Source organism: Homo sapiens, chromosome 4 (genome assembly GCF_000001405.40).
Source record: "Homo sapiens chromosome 4, GRCh38.p14 Primary Assembly".
Classification (NCBI taxonomy): Eukaryota; Metazoa; Chordata; class Mammalia; order Primates; family Hominidae; genus Homo; species Homo sapiens.
In genome coordinates, this window is record NC_000004.12 from 149,040,432 (window position 1) to 149,054,314 (window position 13,883).

The window sequence follows — 13,883 nt, forward strand, 5'->3', positions numbered from 1 at the left end:
GGGAGATTGGAATGCTGGAATGGGTTAGTCACTTTAGACCTACTCATCTCAGCTGGGAGGGTCCAGAAGACATACTCTTGACCAATGCCTTACAAAATAGATTTGTGAGGGCAACACCTGCATCTTTGAAGAGCCCTGTAATTGCTCTTCTCTGTAAGTCAGATCTAACAGTGGGAACCACAGTCAGTCAACTACAAAATTTAAGTACAATGGGAATAATTGTATCCCAAGGTGGCAGAGGCCAAGTGGCAGCACTCAAGTGTCAAAGACAAGGTGGGCATAGCTACTGGAATGGACAGCAGAGACAAAGCAGCAATCAGAATAGTCTGACTTCTGTAGGGCTCTGGCACTGGCTAATTCATCACAGTGTTCCTAGAAGTAAAATTGATAGGAAGCCAACTGCATTGACACTTAATTTATATAAGGAGAAAACTTCTAGGTTGAATGGACAAAAGACTAATTTGAATTATAAAAACAGAGAATCTAAAAGAACAAAGCTGGAGGCATCACGCTACCTGACTTCAAACTATACTACAAGGCTACAGTAACCAAAACAGCATGGTACTGGTACCAAAACAGAGATATAGATCAATGGAACAGAACAGAGCCCTCAGAAATAATGCCTCATATCTACAACTATCTGATCTTTGACAAACCTGAAAAAAACAAGAAATGGGGAAAGGATTCCCTGTTTAATAAATGGTGCTGGGAAAACTGGCTAGCCATATGTAGAAAGCTGAAACTGGATCCCTTCCTTACACCTTATACAAAAATCAATTCAAGATGGATTAAAGACTTAAATGTTAGACCTAAAACCATAAAAACCCTAGAAGAAAACCTAGGCAATACCATTCAGGACATAGACATGGGCAAGGACTTCATGTCTTAAACACCAAAAGCAATGGCAACAAAAGCCAAAATTGACAAATGGGATCTAATTAAACTAAAGAGCTTCTGCACAGCAAAAGAAACCACCATCAGAGTGAACAGCCAACCTACAGAATGGGAGAAAAATTTTGCAACCCACTCATCTGACAAAGGGCTAATATCCAGAATCTACAATGAATTCAAACAAATTTACAAGAAAAAAAACAAACAACCCCATCAAAAAGTGGGCAAAGGATATGAACAGACACTTCTCAAAAGAAGACATTTATGCAGCCAAAAAACACATGAAAAAATGCTCATCATCACTGGCTATCAGAGAAATGCAAATCAAAACCACAATGAGATACCATCTCACACCATTTAGAATGGCGATCATCAGGAAACAACAGGTGCTGGAGAGGATGTAGAGAAATAGGAACACTTATACACTGTTGGTGGTACTGTAAACTAGTTCAACCATTGTGGAAGTCAGTGTGGCAATTCCTCAGGGATCTAGAACTAGAAATACCATTTGACCCAGCAATCCCATTACTGGGTATATACCGAAAGGATTATAAATCCTGCTGCTATAAAGACACATGCACATGTATGTTTATTGCGGCACTATTCACAATAGCAAAGACTTGGAACCAAGCCAAATGTCCAACAATGATAGACTGGATTAAGAAAATGTGGCACATATACACCATGGAATACTATGCAGCCATAAAAAATGATGAGTTCATGTCCTTTGTAGGGACATGGATGAAGCTGGAAACCATCATTCTCAGCAAACTATCTCAAGGACAAAAAACCAAACACCACATGTTCTCACTCATAGGTGGGAATTGAAGAATGAGAACACATGGACACAGGAAGGGGAACATCACACACTGGGGACTGTTGTGGGGTGGGGGGAAGGGGGAGGGATAGCATTAGGAGATATATCTAATGCTAAATGACGAGTTAATGGCTGCAGCACACCAACATGGCACACGTACACACATGTAACAAACCTGCATGTTGTGCACATGTATCCTAAAACTTAAAGTATAATAAAACAAAACAAAACAAAAAACAGAGAATCATGGCCGCTCAATCAATTTCGAGACTTGAACCAGTTTATAAACCCAGAACCCCTTGAATGAAGGGGAGGCTGGGTCCTCTTGAGGAAGGACTCCACTACATCACTGTCAGTTTATGCAGTGAATCTTTCTCCCATTCTTCCCCAAGGAGACCTCTGGGCTTTTACCAGGGTAACTGTGCACTGGGGAAAGGGAAACAATCAGACATTTAAGGGACTACTGGACACTAGCTCTGAGCTGATGTTGATTCCAGGGACCCCACACTGTCATCGTGGTCCTCCAGTTAAAGTAGGGGCTTATGGAGGTCAGGTAATTGATGGAGTTTTAGCTCAGGTCCAACTTCCACTGGATCCATTTGGTCCCTGGACTCATCCTGTGGTCATTTCCCCAGTGCCAGAATGCATAATTAGCATAGACATTCTTAGCAGCTGGCCAGAACCCCCACATTGGCTCCCTGACTGGTAGGGTGAGGGCTGTCATGGTGGGAAAGGCCAAATGGAAGCCATTAGAGCTGTCTCTACCTAGAAAAATAGTAAATCAAAAACAATATCGCATCCCTGGGGGAACTGCAGAGATTAGTACCACCATCAAGGACTTGAAAGACGCAGGGGTGATGATTTCCACCATATCCCTGTTCAACTCTCCCATTCGGCTTGTGCAGAAGACAGATGGATCTTGGAGAATGACAGTGGATTATCATAAGCTTAACCAAGTGTGACTCCAATTGCAGATGCTGTATCAGAGGTGGTTTCATTGCCTGAACAAATTAACACATCTCCTGGTAACTGGTATGCAGCCTTTGACTGGGCAAATGCCATTTTCTCCATTCCTATCCATAATGCCCACCAGAAGCAATTTGCCTTCAGCCGGCAAGGCCAGCAATATACCTTTACTGTCCTACCTCAGGGGTATGTCAGCTCTCTGGCTTTGTGTCACAATCTTATTCTGAGAGACCATGATCGCTTTTTCCTTCCACAAGGTATCTCACTGGTTGATTACATTGATGACATTATGCTGATTGGATCCAGTGAACAAGAAGTAGCAAACACCCTGGACTTATTGGTGAGACATTTGCATGCCAGAGGATGCGAAATAAATCCAACTAAAATGCAGGGACCTTTTACCTCGGTAAAATTTCTAGGGGTTCAGTGGTGTGGGTCTTGTTGAGTTATTCCTCCTAAGGTGAAGGATAAGTTGCTGCATTTGGGTCCTCCTACAGCCAAGAAAGAGACACAAAGCCTAGCGGGCCTATTTGAATTTTGGAGGCAACACAATCCTCATTTGAGTATGTTACTCTGGCCCATTTATCGAGTGACCCAAACGGCTGCCAGTTTTGAGTGGGGCCACAAACAGGAGAAGGCCCTGCAATAGGTCCAGTAGCTGTGCTAGCTGCTCTGCCACTTGGGCCATATGACCTAGCAGATCCAATGGTGCTTGAGGTGTCAGTGGCAGATAGGGATGCTGTTTGGAGCCTTTGGCAGGCCCGCATAGGTGAATCACAGCGGAGACCTCTAGGACTTTGGAGCAAGGCCTGGCCATATTCTGCAGATAACTACTCTCCTGTTGAGAGACAGCTCTTGGCCTGTTACTGGGCTTTGGTGGAAATTGAATGTTTGAGTATGGGTCATCAAGTCACTATGCGACCTGAACTGCCTCTTATGAACTGGGTGCTTTCTGATTCACCTAACCATGAAGTGGGTCATGCACAGCAGTATTCCATCATCAAATGAAAGTGGTATATACGTGATCGGGCTTGAGCAGGTCATGAAGGCACAAGTTACATGAGGACGTGGCTCAAATGCCCATGCTCTCCACTCCTGCCACCCTGCCTTCTCTTTACCAGCCTGCACTGATGGCTAATGGGGGATTCCCTATGATCAGCTGCCAGAGGAAGAGGAGACTAGGGCCTGGTTCACAGGTGGTTCTGCACAATATGCAGGCACCAACCAAAAGTGGACAGCTGCGCACTATAGCTCCTTTCTAGGACATCCCTGAAGGACATCAGTGAAGGGAAATCTTCCCAATGGGCAGAACTTTGAGCAGTGCACCTGGTTGTGCACTGTGCATGGAAGGAGAAATGGCCAGATGTGCAATTATACACTGATTCACGGGCTGTAGCCAATGGTTTGGCTGGATGGTCAGGAACTTCGAAGAAGCATGATTGGAAAATTGGTGACAAAGAAATTTGAGGAAGGGGTATGTGGATGGACCTCTCTGAGTGGTCAAAAACTGTGAAGATATTTGTATCCCATGTGAGTGCTCGCCAGTGGGTGACCTCAGCAGAGGAGGATTTTAATAATCAAGTAGATAGGATGACTTGTTCTGTGGACACCACTCAGCCTTTTTCCATAGACACCCCTGTCATCGCCCAATAGGCCCATGAACAAAGTGGCTCTGGTGGCAGGGATGGAGGTTATGCAAGGGGTTAGCAACATGGACTTCCACTCACTAAGGCTGACCTGGCTTTGGCCACTGCTGAGTGCCCAATTTGCCAGCAGCAGAGACTAACTGAGTCCTCGATATGGCACCATTCCTCAGGGTGATCAGCCAGCTACCTGGTGGCAGGTTGATTATATTGGACCTCTTCCATCATGGAAAGGGCAGAGGATTGTCATCACTGGAATATACACTTACTCAAGATATGTGTTTGCCTATCCTGCACGCAATGCCTCTGCTAAGAGTACCATCCATGGACTCACGGCATGCCTATCCAACATCATGGTATTCCACACAGCATTGCTTCTGATCAAGGCACTCACCTCACAGCTAAAGAAGTGTGGCAATGGGCTCGTGCTCATGAAATTCACGGTCTTACCATGTCCCCCACCATCCTGAAGCAGCTGGATTGATAGAATGGTGGAATGGCCTTTTGAAGTCACATTATGATGCCAACTAGGTAACAATACTTTGCAGGGCTGGGGAAAAGCTCTCCAGAAGGCCATGTATGCTCTGAATCAGCATCCAACATATGATACTGTTTCTCCCATAGCCAGGATTCACTGGTCCAGGAATCAAGGGGTGGAAGTGGAAGTGGTACCATTCACCATCACCCTTAGTGATCCACTAGCAAAATTTTTACTTCCTGTTCTGCTGGCCTAGCGGTCTTAGTTCCAGAGGGAGGAACACTGCCACCAGGAGACACTGGAAATTAAGATTGCCACCTGGACACTTTGGGCTCCTCCTACCTTTAAGTCAACAGGCTAAGAAGGGAGTTACAGTGTTGGCTGGGGTGATTGACCTGGACTATCAAGATGAAATCAGTCTACTACTCCATAATGGAGGTAAGGAAGAGTATGCATGGAATACAGGAGATCCATTAGGGTGTCTCTTAGTATTACCATACCTTGTGATTAAGGTCAATAGGAAACTAAAACAGCCCAATCCAGGCAGGACTACAAATGATCCAGACCCCTCAGGAATGAAGGTTTGGGTCACTCCACCAGGAAAAACACCACGACCTGTTGAGGTGCTTGCTGGGAATACAGAATGGGTAGTAGAATAAGGTAGTCATCAAAACCAGTGACGACCACATGACCAGCTGCAGAAATGAGGACTGTAACAGTCATGAGTATTTCCTCCTTCTTTTGTTAAAAACATGTTTGTGCATGTATGTGCTTGTACTAAGAAAGTATCTTCATTTTATTTATTTTTCCTTTACCATGTGACATAAGATTTATTGACTTCATATCCGCATTTAAGTATTGTTAACTTTATGTAATAGTATTTGGGTTGGGGGTTGGTTCATTTCTGGTTGTACAAAGGATATTTGTATTACATTAGCTAAATTATGACCTTATGATTGTCTTTATTTGAAGACTATGTATGATCTCAGATGTATATGGGTTCAAGTTGACAAGGGGTAGACTTGTGATGGTTAATACTGAGCATCAACTTGATTGGATTGAAGGATGCAAAGCATTGATCCTGGGTGTGTCTGCAAGGGTATTGCCAAAGGAGATTAACATTTGAGCCAGTGGGCTGGGGAAGGCAGACCCACCCTTAATCTGGTGGGCACAATCTAATCAGCTACCAGCGAATATAAAGGAGGCAGAAAAACGTGAAAAGGTGAGGCTAGCCTAGCCTCCCAGCCTACATCTTTCTCCCATGCTGGATGCTTCCTGCCCTCAAATATCAGATTCCAGGTTCTTCAGTTTTGAGACTTGAACTGGCTCTCCTTGCTCCTCCAAGCTTGCAGGAGGCCTATTGTTGGACTTTGAGATCATGTAAGCTAATACTTAATAACTCTACTTTATATATATTATATATATAATATGTATATATCCTATTAGCTCATATATATATATCCTATTAGTTTATATATATATCATATATATATTAGTTTATATCTTATTAGTTTATATATCATATTAGTTTATATATTAGTATATATTAGTTTATAATATAGATGTATTAGTTTATAATATATAGTTTATATATTAGTTTATATGTATCCTATATATGATATATATATCCTATATATATCCTTATATATGATATATATATCCTATATATATCCTTATATATGATATATATATCCTATATATATCCTTATATATGATATATATATCCTATATATATCCTTATATATGATATATATATCCTATATATATCCTTATATATGATATATATATCCTATATATATCCTTATATATGATATATATATCCTATATATATCCTTATATATGATATATATATCCTATATATATCCTTATATATGATATATATATCCTATATATATCCTTATATATGATATATATATCCTATATATATCCTTATATATGATATATATATCCTATATATATCCTTATATATAGGATATATATATCCTATATATATCCTATATATATCCTTATATATGATATATATATCCTATTAGTTCTGTATATATATGTGTATATATATGCATATCTATGTGTATATATGTGTGTGTATATATATGTGCATATATATGTGTGTGTATATATATACATATATGTACACATATATGTATATATATGTGTGTATATATATACACATACACACACATATATATATATATCCTATTAGTTCTGTCCTTCTAGGGAACCCTGACTAATACACCCCCAAATGACTTCACATTAGATTCCTGCATCTCACAGTGACTGCAAATCCCTGTCTGCTTTATGCTGATCACTTCATTCTTGTGTGGTTCCTTTCCAGACTATTACATAGGACCATTCCTCAGATGAACACTTCCCTTGGAATGTCCCTCTCTGAATATGCCAATTGTCATGTTTTCTCACTAAACCCATCAGTTTGGTTCTCCATGTATCTATGATTACTCAACCCCTCATGCTATTAACTAAAATATCGTACCCCCGATGTGGGAAGGCTATTCTTCCTATCTTGGAATTCTTGGTACTCATGCCCATTCTTTCTTCTGAGCATCTTTATTCTATTTAAACCAGATCTTAATCATAGGGTCATTTCTTTTCTAAAAATGCCTGTTGAATATTCTCCTTCTACTTCACTTCTCCTTCCCTTGGTCTCCCAACATCCAGACCTTCCCAAGGCCATCCTGCATAATATTCATTTCATGGCTAATTTGCCCAAATCAATCCTTTCATCAGGATATTCTTCTTTTGAAAACTTCCAAAAGGTTATTTAAAACCTATGAGCATAAAAATTTCCATAATTAACCAGGTGTTCTGTAATGGAGCTATAGCATCTATGTGAAACCCATTTCCCTCTAATCCTTAATTAATTCTGCCTTCCTGTATTTACTTCGAGTTTCCAGAATGGCCCTCTATTGTTCTCTTTTCTGACCCAAATCCTATTAATTTTGCCCAGATCAAGTTCCATACACTCTGTGAAGCCTTCCTTTTAGTCCACTACAGTTTTTATTTCTGTAAACTCTTGTTATATTTTATAGTTAATACCAAGTAATTAATCTAATGGTTTCATCTGTGTTAGGTCTACTTCCCAAATTTGACTGTATCATTTCTCATGGAGAAAGATGTATTAGACTTTCTCTATTCCCTATTGTATCCACCGCAGTCCTGCAGACTTAGCAAAAGCTAATAAACTTAGCATTGACTGCAAAATAAAGATGCCTTCCTTGCCCTGGTTGAGTTGTTGAAGGTGGATATTATTATAAAAGAAAGGAGTTAAGTTAGGAAGGTATCAGGGAAATAGTACAAAGTAAATAAGTGATACATATTTGAAGGCTAAAGAGTTTTGAAATCTATTTTCAAGCCTGAGCCAATGTTACCATGACCGAGCTTGTCAACAACCACAAGCAAACTAGCTACCCACCTGCTGTGGTGAGGAAGCATTTGGAACTCAATGAGAGTGAGGTAGAAAGTCAGATAACACTTCAACATGAAAACACCTTTATATTTATTAATACCTTTTTGAGAATCCTTAGCCATTTTCTGGGCTGCCTTTCATATCGTACCTGTGAGGACAAAAGAGGGTAGGAATTATAAACACTTTGACATGGGAAGACAGACACAGAGAGAAATCCCTTGCCAAACATCTAACAGTGAAGAAACTGGGAATAGAAACCAGGTCCCATGCCTCACCATCTGGTGTTCTATCAGCTAGACCACACTGTCTCTCTAAATTGCCAACCTGGATTAATAATTGTACATATGACATAATTCTAGTTTTTGCCTTTCTGTGCTGTTGAAGATGGGACATCTCTTCCAGTGAGCATGATGGAAACTTTTCTGTGTATATATCCAAATATATAATTAACGATGTTTTTTCCTTATACACAAGCAGAATAAAGACAACCAAACTCATTTGAGTTTGTTTCAATGCTAGAAGAAAATTAAGAAATTCATTGGTATTAGATAGGGAGCTATTAAATCAAAAATAATTTAAGGAAATGTATTTTGAGAATTAGCTAATCTAAATTATATTGGCTTCTACACATTGATGTCTTTCTTTTGTCGTCTGAGCTGCTTTATTCCAAAAGCAGAATTCTGTGCACACACAACTTCTATAGCTTCCTGTTTGCGCCAAACCATGATTACAGAAATAAGAATTCTGGGTCTTTCCATTGGCTCTTTCAGCCTGCGTGTGCCTATTTTTGAGCATGTAAAGACCAACATACGTCGTTTACAATAGGTTGGAAACTGCAGGACTTTCCTTCAGACTGAGAAGAAAATTGTCTATTTAATTCAGGGAAAATGAAGGTTTAAGATCAGGTAAAATATATTATTTTCTTTAATTACCAAGCCAGGAATCCATTTGGGATTATGAAAGAGAGGCAACCCTTGATACGCTAGTATTTCAGCCTCTACTCTTTCAAATACCTGTGTCTGTTTAAGACCAGCTGTTACACTAAATATTGCCCTACAGCTACATTAGCTGTACTTATGCAAAGTATTTTTGATGGTAGCAATTGTAACCATGTTTATAAAAGTAAAGTCCAGCTGACAATTGGACATATTGATGAGTGACAGAGAGGCTGGGTTAATTCTTTAAAATCAATTTTCATTAATATTATAGTCTTTTCTTTACACCTTTGTGTAGTATTTGAATTATCCACCACGATAAAGAGAAAAACGGTAGACCACAAATTCTTCGCTTGATAGGAACGAAGGGTTGAAGCAGTGTGGGAAGGTTGAGAAGGGATTTCCTAAATCACGAATCACTGAAGGAACATCTAAGGCCAGCAAGTGCCTTAGATGGAAGGTGGGGAATGCAGGGGAGACCACTTCCTAGCAGGGACTAGGGACACCCCACAGAGCTGATCCCTAGAAGGTAGCAGGTTGCTGCCTATCTTGTTTACTGCTGCCTTGGTTCCTAAACATGCTTTGCATCACCCACCAATTCTTCTTTTTTAAAGGACAAGATAAAGTTTTTATACTTCACTAGTGAATTTGAGCTAGACAGAAGACATAAAACACCAGGGAGAACAATTTCAGCCCCTGAATTAATTCACTGAAATGTAAAATGGGGATATAGGGTTGGCAGAGATCCAAATAGAAAAGAAATCTGAAAAGATAAAATGTGTGTGTATATATATATATTTGTGCACATCTAATCTCACTTAAGAATGTAAAGCTATATAAGTGAGGCTATAGAAAGAGAAAGGGGAGAGAAGGACATGTATGGTTGGTAGGAAAGATAACTATGCAAACTTTAAGTCCTAGATATTTAGGATTAAGGATTGGGGAGCGGGGGAAGTAAGTTATAAAATAAAAAGATGAACATGATAAAATATATGTAAAATCTTAGTGAATATACTGAACAGGAAGAGAAATACTGCATTTGTGACAGAAGATAATAGTGTTCCAGAGAATAGAGCATATTATTCAAGGGCTGTATATTTAGGCCATTGATAAAAGTCATCATCCAAGATCTTTAAAATAAAGCAGAGAAGTATCTTGCTGGATCATTGAAAATGCTGATAGTTATAAATGGATTTTCTTAAGTCATTGCTGCTTTGAGCCAAAACAAGACAGGTAACAGAAGAAGGTGAGGGAAAATACTGGAAAAGGACTCTGGAGGAAACCCTCATAATTTCACTTCCACCCTGGCTCTACCCTCTACAACCAGCAGAGCCTGTCCATTGACGGTGAATAAAGGCCCGAAAGCTTAAGCTGGCCCTCTGCCTCCTTCCCTGAGGTCCTGCTCTGCCTCCCTTGCTGCACTCGTCTTCCCTGTTTCTCAACTCCCTGCTCTGCCGCCAGCTTGACCTACACACTGCCCTCCTCTGGGAAGTAGCCTCCACTCCCACTCCCTCACCTTGTCTCAGGCCTTCCTCCTCAGTGGGAGGAGGTTCTCCTGCCTTGCCCTTAAGCTCTGCTTACCTTCAGGTGTCTAACATTACTACAGAGTAGGAATCCTACAACTCGCATCCTCCATACATGACCCAAAGGCTAAATAGCCAACTGGTCTGTGACTGTCATGCCATAAAAATGCTTTATCAAATTTGAAACACAAATGAGAAGCTTGGGTTTTAGTTATATTCTCAGGGACGTGGAAATTGCACTCTTTGTGGCTAGTTTACAGTCGTTAGCAAGCTACGCATTTCCACTGGATTATTCAAACCCTTTTAGTGATTGGCTGGTATTATTTTTATTTTTTATGACAATAAAGAACATGTAATGTGCAGATATCTAGTTCCAAGATGCAAACTCTTCAACTACTTTTATGTTTAAAACTTTTTCCCCATATCCTGAGGTCAATTCAATATTTAGTAGTAGTTTCTTCCAATTTTTATAGATTTTTTTTGAACATTGAACACTGACAATCCAGCTCAGATTGTATCTATTATCTATGCACCTATGCATCTTTGTATCTATGCATGTATGTATGTATATTTATCTATCTATCCATCTACCTACCTACCCATTTAAATTATTGGCTCTTATAACAGAATAAGTCCTCTTGTCCCAATATTTAATTCATCTTTTTCATTATTTTGGATAGTTCCTCACTGTTTATTTTTTCAGATGTATTTTTCAGTAAGTTTTCCAAAGTTACAAAATAAATTCCATTGGGAATTTTTGGGGACTGCATTTTGAAGATAGAAATTGATTTGGGAAGAATTGTATCATTACAATATTTAATCTTCCTAATAGGATAATCTAAGTTTTATGTCTGTGAAATGTGAAGACAATTTCCTTTCTGATATTATTATTTTTGGAAAAATGGCTGAGACTGAATATTAAATATTCTAGTATTGCTCATCTGGCTTACGGATGAACAGCATCTTTAGCTTCTCCTTCATCTCTCAGCTGCTTGCTCTTGGTGGAACTTGCTTTTGAGCACCTTCATTGAGGCGAACAGGGACCCAGTGGGGAACCAGCTTAATAGTTCCAGAGACAGGCTTAGTCATGACACATCAGGATATGAAGAGAACTTCCCTGTGACTGGCTGGGGGTCTGCCTTGCTGAGAGGTCACTAATTATGCCTATCCTCTCCTGCAGATTTTCCTACCCTTTTGTGAAGGCCTCTTCTCCATCTCCTCCACTCTGCCAGGTACATTAGCCTCAGTGTATGTTTGAGTTGAATTAAGAAACTGAAAGGAAGCTTGTCTCTGGGACTTCATGGTTGGCTTTTCCACTGTTAATGAAAATACCACACTAGGGAAAGGGAATAAAAAATAAACTTAAGGTATAGTTTTGAGGGAAAGTGTATTCTTTTAATAACTTTTTAAGTAGCTCGTTGCTACTTCTTGTTATCTCCATCAAAACTAACTGATTCACCTCTTTTTTTTTTTTTGGCTAGGAATTAATTTCTTTTTAAATAAACACACTCTCGACCAGGCACTTTTTCCTCACTATGAACACTGAATACTTTTTTTCTTTTTGATGAAAATAATTTCACTTCAAGGAGACAGATGGGAAGATACAAGCTCAACTATGAACATCTTGCAGGCCTGGTGGTTAAAGAGGTTGATAGGTCTGTGTGTTTCATTTTATCCTCCCACAGTCTCACCAATTGTTGGCAGTGCATGTGATGCCACCAGGCCCTGGTGTCAGCCCATGATGGCTATAGGAAAGACACAGCTTTTAAAATGCAAGTCTGAGTTTCTGAGATCCAGCAGATGCATGAGCGGGGGCAGTGGGTTACATAGTTCCTGCCTGTAATGCCTGGCTCTTGCATTCTCTGCAATCTCCCCTTATGCTAGTTAACCCCAAATTCTCCTTGAAGAAATGCTTGGGAATTTTATTTTAAGCAATATTACTGATATGAGTACTTTCCCTCCAATAGTTGCACTTAAAATATCCATTTAAGCATGATCCGTATGTCTGTTTTAAATGTTTATACCTGTAGTATTTACAATAGGAAATTGACATATTTTTATACAGCTTCAAAATATTCTGTTTCAAAATGAAAAACAAGGTAATATGAAAATCCTCCAGTTTTAACCTATTGTGTCAAGATAGCAGGAGAAAGGAGACAGAGTGAGATGTTGAGATTCTCCTTAAGCCTGTCTGGGATTAGTTTTCTTAGGGGACTCTCAAAGTCAAAGTCAGGTCACCTGAGTGCCAGGTCTGCTCAGCACAGACCAATGGCAGGCGTGTGTTCAGTAAATAGAGACAGCACAGTCCAGAGGCAAGCTCTTTGGAGCAGTCTTCAATTATATGTTGTTTATTGTTTAACCAAACTGCTTGCTATTCCAAAAGTGTTGGCCCTGTCTCTTTAGCTGCCTCGTGTTCAATTGCATTTTCACCACCTTCCTCAGCCACTGCGTGTTTTAGATCTATTTTTTATGTCAGGATAGCTTTTTCTCCTTGCTATTGCTTCAGAAAAATGCTGTGGGAAAAAAATGCTTCATAAGATTTTATCTTTCCCTCTTATTTATTTATTTTTTATTTTTGTTTGGCCGCTGGGTAACTCCTGTATACTCCTTTCAGACGCAACATGAGATTAGATTTTTTAGAAATTACACTGCCTGTCATGTCTGTATTAGAGCAATCTGTCATCTTCACATTGGAAACCCTGGATGCTGTCTCTAGCCCCTGTTTCTTTAGGACCTACATATAGTATTTTGGAACGTATAGTAATAGGGGTTGCAGGAACAATGTCAATAGCCTGTTATTCTTCATATGCTGTTCTAAATTATAGATATTACCAGACATCCCAGTGTGGCATTAGGAGATGATTCTACGGTTAACACAGGAGAACATTCACAGAAATACCAGGCAAAAGCAAATGAAAAGACTAAAATATATTGCTTCTATTACTTTTAAAAGCTGACTTGGATAGCAGCAGCAACTTGGTCATAGGTAGTAATACATTAGGCTCTATCTAATATTTCTTCTTTCCATTTTATAAATAAGTAAGTAAATATATGGCATACTTATCCTCCACTTCTCCTTCCCCCTCCAGGTTGGTCAGTGCTCAGCTTGGCAACTACCAAAATAAAGGTCTGTAATTCTTTCAGACATTTGCTAAAGGTAGGAGCCCAGTGGTAGCTTTAGAATAATATCTATTATTAAAGCACAT